This window comes from Homo sapiens, chromosome 7, assembly GCF_000001405.40.
Source record: "Homo sapiens chromosome 7, GRCh38.p14 Primary Assembly".
Lineage (NCBI taxonomy): Eukaryota > Metazoa > Chordata > Mammalia > Primates > Hominidae > Homo > Homo sapiens.
In genome coordinates, this window is record NC_000007.14 from 111,245,229 (window position 1) to 111,259,820 (window position 14,592).

General features: G+C 37.2%; 1 protein-coding gene across 25 annotated transcripts in view; it reads right to left on the bottom strand.

Annotated features, from left to right (window-relative positions):
- The window catches only part of IMMP2L (inner mitochondrial membrane peptidase subunit 2), an 899,849-nt gene that overhangs the window by 582,585 nt on the left and 302,672 nt on the right, over positions 1 to 14,592 (bottom strand). The window lies entirely within an intron of this gene.

Below are 14,592 nucleotides of genomic sequence, written 5' to 3' on the forward strand. Positions count from 1 at the left end.
TTCACATCCCTTGTAAGTTGGATTCCTAGGTATTTTATTCTCTTTGAAGCAATTGTGAATGGGAGTTCACCCATGATTTGGCTCTCTGTTTGTCTGTTGTTGGTGTATAAGAATGCTTGTGATTTTTGTACATTGATTTTGTATCCTGAGACTTTGCTGAAGTTGCTTATCAGCTTAAGGAGATTTTGGGCTGAGACGATGGGGTTTTCTAGATAAACAATCATGTCGTCTGCAAACAGGGACAATTTGACTTCCTCTTTTCCTAATTGAATACCCTTTATTTCCTTCTCCTGCCTGATTGCCCTGGCCAGAACTTCCAACACTATGTTGAATAGGAGTGGTGAGAGAGGGCATCCCTGTCTTGTGCCGGTTTTCAAAGGGAATGCTTCCAGTTTTTGCCCATTCAGTATGATATTGGCTGTGGGTTTGTCATAGATAGCTCTTATTATTTTGAAATACGTCCCATCAATACCTAATTTATTGAGAGTTTTTAGCATGAAGGGTTGTTGAATTTTGTCAAAGGCTTTTTCTGCATCTATTGAGATAATCATGTGGTTTTTGTCTTTGGCTCTGTTTATATGCTGGATTACATTTATTGATTTGCGTATATTGAACCAGCCTTGCATCCCAGGGATGAAGCCCACTTGATCATGGTGGATAAGCTTTTTGATGTGCTGCTGGATTCGGTTTGCCAGTATTTTATTGAGGATTTTTGCATCAATGTTCATCAAGGATATTGGTCTAAAATTCTCTTTTTTTGTTGTGTCTCTGCCCGGCTTTGGTATCAGAATGATGCTGGCCTCATAAAATGAGATAGGGAGGATTCCCTCTTTTTCTATTGATTGGAATAGTTTCAGAAGGAATGGTACCAGTTCCTCCATGTACCTCTGGTAGAATTCGGCTGTGAATCCATCTGGTCCTGGACTCTTTTTGGTTGGTAAACTATTGATTATTGCCACAATTTCAGAGCCTGTTATTGGTCTATTCAGAGATTCAACTTCTTCCCGGTTTAGTCTTGGGAGAGTGTATGTGTCGAGGAATGTATCCATTTCTTCTAGATTTTCTAGTTTATTTGCGTAGAGGTGTTTGTAGTATTCTCTGATGGTAGTTTGTATTTCTGTGGGATCGGTGGTGATATCCCCTTTATCATTTTTTATTGTGTCTATTTGATTCTTCTCTCTTTTTTTCTTTATTAGTCTTGCTAGCGGTCTATCAATTTTGTTGATCCTTTCAAAAAACCAGCTCCTGGATTCATTGATTTTTTGAAGGGTTTTTTGTGTCTCTATTTCCTTCAGTTCTGCTCTGATTTTAGTTATTTCTTGCCTTCTGCTAGCTTTTGAATGTGTTTGCTCTTGCTTTTCTAGTTCTTTTAATTGTGATGTTAGGGTGTCAATTTTGGATCTTTCCTGCTTTCTCTTGTAGGCATTTAGTGCTATAAATTTCCCTCTACACACTGCTTTGAATGCGTCCCAGAGATTCTGGTATGTGGTGTCTTTGTTCTCGTTGGTTTCAAAGAACATCTTTATTTCTGCCTTCATTTCGTTATGTACCCAGTAGTCATTCAGGAGCAGGTTGTTCAGTTTCCATGTAGTTGAGCGGCTTTGAGTGAGATTCTTAATCCTGAGTTCTAGTTTGATTGCACTGTGGTCTGAGAGATAGTTTGTTATAATTTCTGTTCTTTTACATTTGCTGAGGAGAGCTTTACTTCCAACTATGTGGTCAATTTTGGAATAGGTGTGGTGTGGTGCTGAAAAAAATGTATATTCTGTTGATTTGGGGTGGAGAGTTCTGTAGATGTCTATTAGGTCTGCTTGGTGCAGAGCTGAGTTCAATTCCTGGGTATCCTTGTTGACTTTCTGTCTCGTTGATCTGTCTAATGTTGACAGTGGGGTGTTAAAGTCTCCCATTATTAATGTGTGGGAGTCTAAGTCTCTTTGTAGGTCACTCAGGACTTGCTTTATGAATCTGGGTGCTCCTGTATTGGGTGCATAAATATTTAGGATAGTTAGCTCCTCTTGTTGAATTGATCCCTTTACCATTATGTAATGGCCTTCTTTGTCTCTTTTGATCTTTGTTGGTTTAAAGTCTGTTTTATCAGAGACTAGGATTGCAACCCCTGCCTTTTTTTGTTTTCCATTGGCTTGGTAGATCTTCCTCCATCCTTTTATTTTGAGCCTATGTGTGTCTCTGCACGTGAGATGGATTTCCTGAATACAGCACACTGATGGGTCTTGACTCTTTATCCAACTTGCCAGTCTGTGTCTTTTAATTGCAGAATTTAGTCCATTTATATTTAAAGTTAATATTGTTATGTGTGAATTTGATCCTGTCATTATGATGTTAGCTGGTGATTTTGCTCATTAGTTGATGCAGTTTCTTCCTAGTCTCGATGGTCTTTACATTTTGGCATGATTTTGCAGCGGCTGGTACCGGTTGTTCCTTTCCATGTTTAGCGCTTCCTTCAGGAGCTCTTTTAGGGCAGGCCTGGTGGTGACAAAATCTCTCAACATTTGCTTGTCTATAAAGTATTTTATTTCTCCTTCACTTATGAAGCTTAGTTTGGCTGGATATGAAATTCTGGGTTGAAAATTCTTTTCTTTAAGAATGTTGAATATTGGCCCCCACTCTCTTCTGGCTTGTAGGGTTTCTGCCGAGAGATCCGCTGTTAGTCTGATGGGCTTTCCTTTGAGGGTAACCCGACCTTTCTCTCTGGCTGCCCTTAACATTTTTTCCTTCATTTCAACTTTGGTGAATCTGACAATTATGTGTCTTGGAGTTGCTCTTCTCGAGGAGTATCTTTGTGGTGTTCTCTGTATTTCCTGAATCTGAACGTTGGCCTGCCTTGCTAGATTGGGGAAGTTCTCCTGGATAATATCCTGCAGAGTGTTTTCCAACTTGGTTCCATTCTCCACATCACTTTCAGGTACACCAATCAGACGTAGATTTGGTCTTTTCACATAGTCCCATATTTCTTGGAGGCTTTGCTCATTTCTTTTTATTCTTTTTTCTCTAAACTTCCCTTCTCGCTTCATTTCATTCATTTCATCTTCCATTGCTGATACCCTTTCTTCCAGTTGATCGCATCGGCTCCTGAGGCTTCTGCATTCTTCACGTAGTTCTCGAGCCTTGGTTTTCAGCTCCATCAGCTCCTTTAAGCACTTCTCTGTATTGGTTATTCTAGTTATACATTCTTCTAAATTTTTTTCAAAGTTTTCAACTTCTTTGCCTTTGGTTTGAATGTCCTCCCGTAGCTCAGAGTAATTTGATCGTCTGAAGCCTTCTTCTCTCAGCTCGTCAAAATCATTCTCCATCCAGCTTTGTTCTGTTGCTGGTGAGGAACTGCGTTCCTTTGGAGGAGGAGAGGCGCTCTGCGTTTTAGAGTTTCCAGTTTTTCTGTTCTGTTTTTTCCCCATCTTTGTGGTTTTATCTACTTTTGGTCTTTGATGATGGTGATGTACAGATGGGTTTTCGGTGTAGATGTCCTTTCTGGTTGTTAGTTTTCCTTCTAACAGACAGGACCCTCAGCTGCAGGTCTGTTGGAATACCCTGCCGTGTGAGATGTCAGTGTGCCCCTGCTGGGGGGTGCCTCCCAGTTAGGCTGCTCGGGGGTCAGGAGTCAGGGACCCACTTGAGGAGGCAGTCTGCCCGTTCTCAGATCTCCAGCTGCGTGCTGGGAGAACCACTGCTCTCTTCAAAGCTGTCAGACAGGGACACTTAAGTCTGCAGAGGTTACTGCTGTCTTTTTGTTTGTCTGTGCCCTGCCCCCAGAGGTGGAGCCTACAGAGGCAGGCAGGCCTCCTTGAGCTGTGGTGGGCTCCACCCAGTTCGAGCTTCCCGGCTGCTTTGTTTACCTAAGCAAGCCTGGGCAATGGCGGGTGCCCCTCCCCCAGCCTCGTTGCCGCCTTGCAGTTTGATCTCAGACTGCTGTGCTAGCAATCAGCGAGATTCCGTGGGCGTAGGACCCTCCGAGCCAGGTGTGGGATATAGTCTCGTGGTGCGCCGTTTCTTAAGCCGGTCTGAAAAGCGCAATATTCGGGTGGGAGTGACCCGATTTTCCAGGTGCATCCATCACCCCTTTCTTTGACTCGGAAAGGGAACTCCCTGACCCCTTGCGCTTCCCAGGTGAGGCAATGCCTCGCCCTGCTTCGGCTCGCGCACGGTGCGCACACACACTGGCCTGCGCCCACTGTCTGGCACTCCCTAGTGAGATGAACCCGGTACCTCAGATGGAAATGCAGAAATCACCGTCTTCTGCGTCGCTCACGCTGGGAGCTGTAGACCGGAGCTGTTCCTATTCGGCCATCTTGGCTCCTCCCCCTCTTGTTGCTTTAACTAAATATTTACAAACTGCTTATAAGGAAAGAAAACTATCCATTTAGAAGAGAAAGTCATATTTGTAATTCATCACATAAACAGAACTAAAGGCAAAAAACACATGATTATCTCAACAGACCCAGAAAAGGCCTTTGGTAAAATTCAACATCCCTTCATGTTAAAAACTCTCAATAAACTAGGTATTGAAAGAGCATACCTCAAAATAACCAGAGCCATATATGATAAATCCACAGCCAATATGATACTGAATGGGCAAAAGTTAGAAGCATTTCCTTTGAAAACAAGACAAGGATGACCTCTTTCAACATTCCCGTTCAACACAGTATTGGAAGTTCTGGCCAGGGCAATCAGGCAAGAGAAAGAAATAAAGGATATTCAAACAGGAAGAGAAGAAGTCAAATTATCTTTGTTTGCAGATGACATAATCCTGTATCTAGAAAACCCCACCGTCTCAGCCCAAAAGCTCCTTAAGCTGATAAGCAATTTCAGCAAAGTCTCAGGATACAAAATCAATGTGCAAAAATCGCTAACGTTCCTATACACCAACAACAGAAAAGCGGAGTGGTGAATTATGAATGAACTCCCATTCACAATTCCTACAAAGAGAATAAAATACCTAGGAATACAGCTAACAAGAAAAGTGAAGGACCTCTTCAAGGAGAACTACAAACCACTGCTCCAAGAAATCAAAGGACACAAATAAATGGAAAAACATTCCATGCTCATGGATAGGAAGAATCAATACCAAGAAAATGGCCATACTCCCCAAAGTAATTTATAGATTCAATGTTGTTCCCACTAAACGACCATTGACGTTTTTCACAGAATTAGAAGAAACTATTTTAAAATTCATATGAAACCCAAAAGGAGCCTGAATAGCCACAACAATCCTAAGCAAAAAGAACAAAGCTGGAGGTATCACACTACCTGACTTCAAACTATACAAGGCTACACAGTAACCAAAACGGCATGATACTGGTACAAAAACAGAGACATAGACCAATGGAACAGAATAGGGAACTCACAAATAAGACTGCACGTCTACAACCATCTGATTTTTTACAAACCTGACAAAAACAAGCAATGGGGAAAGGATTCCCTATTTAATAAATGGTGCTGGGAAAACTGGCTAGCCATATGCAGAAAATTAAAACTGGACCCCTTCCTTATACCTTATACAAAAGGTAACTCAAGATGGATTAAAGACTTAAATGTAAAACCCAAAATTATAAAAACCCTAGAAGAAAATCTAGGCTATTATCATTCAGGACATAGGCAAAGGCAAAGAGTTTATGACAAAAACACCAAAAGCCACAGCAACAAAAGCATAAATTGACAAATGGGATCTAATCATCTACAGAACTTCTGCATAGCAAAAGAAACTATTATCAGACTGAACAGACAACCTATAGAATGAGAGAAAATTTCTGCAATCTATCCATCCGACAAAGGTCTAATATTCAGAGTCTACAAGAAACAAACAAATTTACAGGAAACAAACAACCCCATTTAAAAGTTGGCAAAGGACATGAACAGACACTTCTCAAAAGAAGACATTCATAGAGCCAGTAAACATATGAAAAAAGCTCAACATCACTCATCATTAGAGAAATAAAAATCAAAATCACAATGAGATACCATCTTACTCCAGTCAGAATGGTGATTATTAAAAAGTCAAGAAACAACAAATGATGGCCAGATTGCAGAGAAAACACTTTTACACTGTTTATGGGGGTGTAAATTATTTCAACCATTGTGAAAAATAGTGTGGCAATTCCTCAAAGACCTAGAGGCAGAAATACCATTTGTACCATTTGACCCAGCAATCCCATTACTGGGTATATACCCAAAGGATTATAAATCATTCTATTATAAAGATACTTGCGCACATATGTTCCATGCAGCACTATTCACAACAGCAAAAACATGGCATCAGCCCAAATGCCCATCAATGACAGACTGGATAAAGAAAATGTGGTACATGGAATACTATGCAGCCATAAAAAGGAAAAACATAATTTCCTTTGCAGGGACATGGATGGAGCTGGAAGCAGTTATCCTTAGCAAACTAACACAGGAACAGAAAACCAAACACCACGTGTTCTTATTTATAAATGGGAGCTGAATGATGAGAACACATGAACACAGGGAGGGGAATACCACGAACTGGGGCCCATTGATGAGGATGGGGGAGGGAGAGTATCAGAAGAATAGCTAATGGATGCTGGGCCTAATACCTGGGTGATGGGTTTATCTGTGCAGCAAACCATCATGGCACACATTTATCTATGTAACAAACTGCACACCCCCCAGAACTAAAAATAAAAGTTGAGGGGGAAAAAAACATAATGTCATTGTGTCACCTCTATCTTCACGAGTTTTATTCCCTAATATTAAACTTGTCTAAAGGTTTACCTAATAAACTCTCTCCTGAAAAAAAATTCTCATGTCACTGAAAATTGACATGAACAGAAAAAAAGAAACAGATTTTGCTTTAACCAAGTAAAAAGAAAGCATTTCTCTGAATATTACCAAATCATCACTTCTCAAAATAGGTCATTTGGGAGCATAAAAAAAAAAAAGTCCCCTTCTTTTCAAAGTTCACATGCAGGATACCTTCCCTTTTGAGTGATTTCAAATGATGCATGGAGTATTCAGCTGATGGTATGTATGAAATGTAGGCATCATCAACCAACAAGCGGAAACAAACTCAAAGTGTATGTACGTAGCATGCACATGCAAGCACCCACACAAATGTTTAAGTGTGTATTGGAGTAATCTATTAGAAATATGCCAATGGAAAAAGTTCTGAATTAGGCAGTATAAAACGAGACCTGGAAAATGGATTCAACAGATACAAATTATTATGGCAGATAAACAAGTACCCTAAATATTGTCATAAGTATAATTTAAATAGCTGTCATATGATTGGAGAAGAGAAAGTCTACTGGACAATGTGATTGGAAAAAGGAAATGTGACAAGGAATAATTTGGAATGGGAAGCAGAGGAGAAAAAGAATACCAGCCTCTGATGAATAATACGTGGCTCCAAGACTGCATTAGGTTTGAAGCCAACACTAAATCGGGGTCCTTGAGCATTTAAATTAAAATTCTATTTTTGAGAACTTGTGAAGAATCTACTTAAGGTTAGTAACACTGGCATAATATGCAAATAATTATGCAAACATATCTTTTGATATTGTTTCAGAGGCATGAACTTGATTTTCAAGACCCAAACATTAGAAAATGACATTTTCTATTGCATATTCTAAAACCTTAGAGTTTTACTCAACATTACATTTAAAAGTTACATGGTTCCAAAACTGACAATGTCATTTATAAGAGTAATGTAATTTATAAGAACTATGACTCTGTTTGTATCTATATCAAATTATTTGTTTAAAAGTAAAAATGGCATTAGAGTTATAAAATGTTCATAGATTTTACCAATATTGCCTACGCTTCTTCTAATTTCTACAAGTGTTTCCAACTTTATCATAAATATAAAATATGGTGAGAAATGAAATATGGAAAAGACTTATTGTAAGCCAATAAAATTTAACATGATAAAGGTCTCACCTGGAGTATTTAAGGGGGAGAACATCTGTTATTCCTCCATTAAAATTAAATATTTCTCCAAACACAAACTACTAAAACTTCAGTGTTATCAGAGAATTATATCAATGATGAACACAAAAAATGTCCATAATGGCTATTTACTGGGTGAATACTCACAGGTGCAGTGTTAAGTGTACAGCAGAGCAAAAGACAGTAGCTGCCAGGACTCAAGGAGCTGACATTTGGGAGGGATGTGCATGCCTCAGAAGAGTGAGCATTAGGGAGGGCTGTCAGGGAAGAGGTAGAGGATCTGTAAACCAGACAAACCAGGGTGGGAAGGAATTTCAGGTAACATGACATACAAGGCTCAGAGGTGAAAGGAGGCTGCATATGATTCTATTTGGCTGTGAAGACTGCCAGAAAATAAAAGTCTTGAGAGGGAGGCAAGGCTGAGCTCATGAAAAGTAACACCAATGGTCTGAGGAGGAAATTCCTCTAAGTGTTTTAATCAGGAGAGTATAAGGTGTGTGTTGCAGAAAGAACATGCAAACTAATTGAGGTCAAGATTTGCTACCAAATCACAAAATATGTATCAATATGTGTTAAGGCTCTCAAAGACTGCCACATAGAACTTGATCTAAAGTCAGAGAATTATTTAGGCCAAAGTCAAACGCCTACAAAAAGCCAGGCAAGTAATGAAAGTAACTGAAGAGCCCCAGAAAACCATGGCCAGGAAGAGGTGTGAGGCCAGCGTGGCATGATCTAACATTTAAACAAATCCAGATATCAGAATTCTTAGGTGAAACATACTGATTGTTCAATAACGACAACTATATAAATGTGCTTTTTCAAAGCACTGAAGTGCCAAACATAATATTTATGGAAATTATCTAACTCCACATAGTGCAAGGCCATTTAAAACCAATTCACTAAGAAATAAAATTTGTGCATCAAGTTACCTCTTATTTGAGCTAAGCATTTTTTTCCCCAAAACACCCTCGCTGAATGAGATTTCTGAGTGATAAAGGCTTTAAAAACTCTGCTTTGGTGGCTATGAATGATAGAGAAAAGACTTAAAATGTAAAGTTGCTTGTCTGTTTCTTGTCTTTTGTTTTGTTTTGTTTTGTTTTGTTCTTACTGATTTCAAAGTAAAATGAATGATCCTAAGCACTCTGGAATGATCCTAAAAACTCTGGAATGATCCTAAAAGTCTTTGAATATATGCAAATCTGCAAAGGGGAAAGTTTACAAATATGAGCAATAACAAATATGGAACATTTTTGTTTTCACCTATCAATCTCTCATCTGTTAAACAGAAATGAACACAAAAATGCTATTTCATGGATGAAAACTCTCTGAAATAGGATATTTCGCTACCTAATATTGTACTCAAAGTGCTGTTTTAAATCTGGGGCAGACTGTCAGAATATCTGATACCTAGTTTATTGGGTAATTGATGAACCCAATGTATTAACATTTTATAAGTAAAAAGAAAAAAATCAAGTCACATATATGTGCTTATTTAGCATGTATAGTTGTCCCTCTGTATACATGAGAGATTGGTTCCAGGACCACCCACATATAACTAAATCTGCACAACATAAGTCCCAGAGTCGTCCTGCAGAACCCTCATATAAAAAAAGTCAGCCCTCTGTAACACAAGTTTTGTATCCCTCAAATCCATGTCTAGTTGAAAACAAAGCCACATATAACTGTGCAGTTCCAACCTGTGTTGTTCAAAGGTCAACTGTATATTGTTTCTGGGAAAAATCTTCAGCTCTTTATCAACATTAACTTTTGCATAGCAAACATATATGTAACTCTCAAATGTAATTAACATAATGCAGAAAAATGTTTAATTATCCACGATCCTATAACCAAATATAACTACTTTAAATTTTTAATCTATAATCTACATGAATACATCAAGGTTTTCTATACTGATGAAACTGCCAGTTAAATAGCAATTCCACCTCCACCCCAATCCCACTATTTTAACAACCCCCACCGATACATATTTTAAAGCATATCTTCCCACAGAAATCAAACTGTGCACCAATCCTTGGAGACAAATATCTCTTCTAAGAATGACTGCAAATATCATAATTAAAGAAAACTAACAAACTTGAAGTTCAAATTGAATGTGTTCTTTTCCATGAGGATAGAATGCATTCTCAAATACATCACAAGCACAACATTGACAGCTGCAATTTGAAAATTTCACAGTATAAAATATGTGAAACAAAAGAATGGTGGGAGAGGTAGTGAGAGAAAGGAGGGTGATGATCATCCATTTTACAAAAACATGCTCCACTTAAAATGATTCATTATAGTATTTTTTTTTACAGAGAAGCTCCACCTAGTAACAAGTGGAAGTTTTTGTTAATTATACACTATAATAAGAGAATGAATTAGACTATAATTATTATAGTTTAAAATTTTAAACTTTCATATGCATGTATCATTTTACCCTAATAAAATCCTGTAAGTTACACATTATGTCACAAGTTTACAGAAGAGGAAAATGAAGTTCAGGAAAGGTGACTGGGCCATCCAGGATCTGAAAGATAAAAGAGCTAGGGATAGATGAGTCAGGACTTGAACTGAGGTCTACTCTTTCCAAATCTCATGCTTTAGTTAACACAAGCTTTCTTGGAACACTCAGAGTACAGTGTCCTTTAATAACTATTGTCCAAACCAAAAGCTTTATAATTCTTTCCAAGAAAAGGTTATCTATCTATACAATGCTTCTAACCAGATAATAACTCCCACATAGTAGTTTTGTCTGTATTCTATTGTTCAAAGCTGTAATTACCAAGGAATGTTTCTGGAAACAACAAATGCTTTTTAAAAAACTTTTCAAAGATATTTAATGAGCAGTTTATTCCAAACAATAAATCATAATTATCTCTCAAAAAATTAAAATGAAGCATAGAGATTTATACTATACATTGTATATTATTTCTTTGGGAAGTATTTTTATTTAAAACAAAAGATTAGTTGTTTGATTTAGATAGTATTCTAGCAAGCCCATTTTAAAAAAATGTTCTTTTTCCTTGTTTTAAAGTGCTATGCTAATTAGGTTTATTCATACAAAAACATTTATTTACCAAAGTTACACAGTTACAAAATGGCATACATAAAGGTTAAACTTTGTTTTGCTTTTAAACCAAACAGATTTCAAGTTCTAGATCTGCAAATGATGTACATATGAACTATAACAATTTTTTATTTGAAAAATAATGTTTAAATCTAACATTATTTTCTACATATAACACTGATAACTGTGGTTCACTGTGTAAGATAATACATGTCATTTTCTTCTTCTAATTCAATTTGGAAACCAACTCCAAATGAATAGAATATGTCAGTGAAATATCTCATTGAAGAAGGATTAACACAGTAAACTGTACTCCACATTTACAAATAAGCAGTTTCATTGTTAAAAGATGCTTGCAGCTTCTCATTCTCACCACAGATTTTCACTATATGTCCATTGTTCATAGAGGACCATGCTGCCTAGAGAGAAAAGTTCTTTTAAATCGAGTAAAAGGGTTTTTCTGTACCACAGGATAATCATAAGATTGAGTACCCCAAAGGGAATCAAGGTGGCTCTTCAATAATTTAACTCTCTGCCCTGAACTGACACATTAAATTATCATATACTGTGAATTCACACCCTCTGAGAAAAAACATTTTCACAATACCTGAATTGTATTGACTCTAAAAGACAAAAAACGCAAAGGCAAGAAGCAGTTTCAGGTACTTGACTAAATAACATCTGGGTAGATAATCAACTCCAGAGATCTTTCTAAAGATGATGAGTCCATCATTTTTCTAAGTAAGCACCTTAAACTACCTACAATAAATAAAAGTAGAGTAGACCTACACAATTATATTCCAGCCAAATGCCACAGCCCAAGTTTTTCTCTTTCACATTTATCAGGTTATGATCTTAATATAATCTAACCAGAAGATAACAACAAGTTTTCTCAGATTCTAAAAGAGAAAAATCCAACAAAGGCTTAACTTGGTTGGTAGTGTTTCACACAGAACTCATAATAATTCCAACTGACAGCTGTCATACTAAAAGAGCCATCTTAATAAAAATGAATAATATGAAATAGTCCATATTACATATTAATAGGGGTGTTATTCAATTACTGTGTTTTAACTGAAAATTAGTCCAAAAGCCTATCATTCTGTAGGACAGACTGATTCAGGTCACCCGTTACTAAATTAAACATTTTCCGCTTTCAATGCATCTCATTAAACATGCAATTGCAAGTTTAAATAACTCCATGCTTTCATTTACACAATCACCCATTTTGTTATTGTTTATAGCAACCTAATTTGGCACATAATAATTCAGGCAGCATTGGATTTGTATTAGACTGAAGTATTAATTTTTAATATAATTGCATTCTTTAGTCCAACAAAAGCTAGTTCAGTAGGGATTTTACTCATGTGAGTCTTCCATTATTATACAAGGCAAATTCTTCCAAGATTTTGCACCTTTCTTTGCCCTACTGATTCGTTTCTCTATAAATTAAAAACTCATTATAAGCTTAAACTAGCTTATTTGCTTAAACAACACAGTGAATGATTACACTGGTACAAAATATACGGCCTATACATCTTTTAAACACCTTTTTCTTTTTCTTTTTTTTAATTACTATACTTTAAGTTCTAGGGTACATGTGCATAAAGTGCAGGTTTGTTACATAGGTATACATGTGCCAGTTGCTTTGCTGCACCCAGCAACTCGTAATTTACATTAGGTATTTCTCCTAACACTATCCCTCCCCCAGCCCCCCAGCCCCCAACAGGCCTCGGTGTGTGATGTTCCCCTCCCTGTGTCTATGTGTTTTCATTGTTCAACTCCACTTATGAGTGAGAACACATGGTTAAAACACCTTTCTCTAAAGGATATTTGATTTAATAATTAAGCAAGGCATGTTTTCCTAGCACAATGATATGTAATTACTAAACCCCACAACTTAACACAAAGGTTAATAAAGAAACTCTTGAAACATCAACAAAATAATGATAACTAAGAGTTGTTCCATTATGCTTCCTGCTACCACAAATCTCAATGATGAAGATATTTGGAGCAATACATTAAAAGATTAGTTAACATGTCACCCCTCATGTGTGGGTGATCACAGAGTACAATGTACATACTTGAGAAGAAAAAAAGGTGAATTGATTGAAAACAAGAAGATCAAGGGTAAAATATAAAATATGTTCACAAGGTAGTAGGGCCTTAATCACTAATTACCATCCATATTGTTCATGCATATTTATATATCTTCTACACGATGGCTAATATATATTAATACCATTTAAAATACTGGTTTTATGAAGAAAAGCATTTTTTAATTTTACTTTTTTTATTTTTTTGAAAAAGAATCTTGCTCTGTCGCCCAGGCTGGAATGCAATGGCATGATTGCAGCTCCTGGCACCCTCCACCTTCCAGGTTCAAGCAATTCTCACACCTCAGCCTCCCAAGTAGCTGGAATTACAGGTACCTGCAACCACACCTGGCTACATTTGTATTTTTAGTAGAGATGGGGTTGCGCCATGTTGGCCAGGCTGGTCTCAAACTCCTGACCTCAAGCGATCTGCCCGCCTTGACTTCCTAAAGTGCTGGGCTTATAGGTGTGAGCCACCGTGCCTAGCCAGAAAAACATATTTTTGAAATAAATATGTTAAAACTACACTTTTCAGTACTTATACTTAAGTACTGAATGACCACTAAATGAGGAAATAAAATAATTAATTATAGCCATGCATAACTTTGGCAATTTAATCATTATGTGAAGTGTACTTACACAAACCTAGATGGTATAGCCTACCACACATGTAGGCTATAAGGTATAGCCTATTGCTCCTAGGCTACAAACCTGTACAACATGTGACTGTACTGAATACTGTAAGCAACTGTGACACAATAAGTATTTGCATAGCTAAACATATCTAACATGTCTAAACATAGAAAAGGTAAAGTAAAAATCTGGTATAAACGATTTAAAATGGTACCCTGTATAAAGTGTATAAGCTCCAAGAATGGAGCTTACAGGCCTGGAAGTTGCTCTGGGTCAATCAGTGAGTGAGTGGTGAGTGAACCTGAAGGCCTAGGACTTTACTGCACTACTGTTGACTTTATAAACACTGTACATTTAGGCTACACAAAATTTATTTTAAATTTTTTCTTCAATAATAAATTAGGCTGGGCATGGTGGCTCATGACTGTAATCCCAAAACTTTGGGAAGCCAAGGCAAGAGGATCACTCGAGGCCAGGAATTTTAGACCAGCCTGGGTAACATAGCTTAAGTTTAATTTTAATTAAAAAATTTATTAAAATTAGCCGAGAGTGGTGGCACATGCCTGTAGTCCTAGCTACTCAGGATGCTGAGGCAGGGGATCTCTTGAGGCCAGGAGTTCAAGGATGCAGTGGGCTATAATGACACTACTACACTGCAGCCTGGGAGGCAAAGTGACCCTGTCCCTAAAAAATAATTTTAAAACAATAATAATAATAATAATAAATTAAGCTTAACTTACCGCATATTTTTATAACTTTTAAAATCTTAAATTTTTTGACTTTTGTAATAACACAGCTTAAAACAAGCACATTATATAGCTGCAGAGAAATACTTTTCTTTAAACCTTTATAAGTCATTTTCTATTTTAA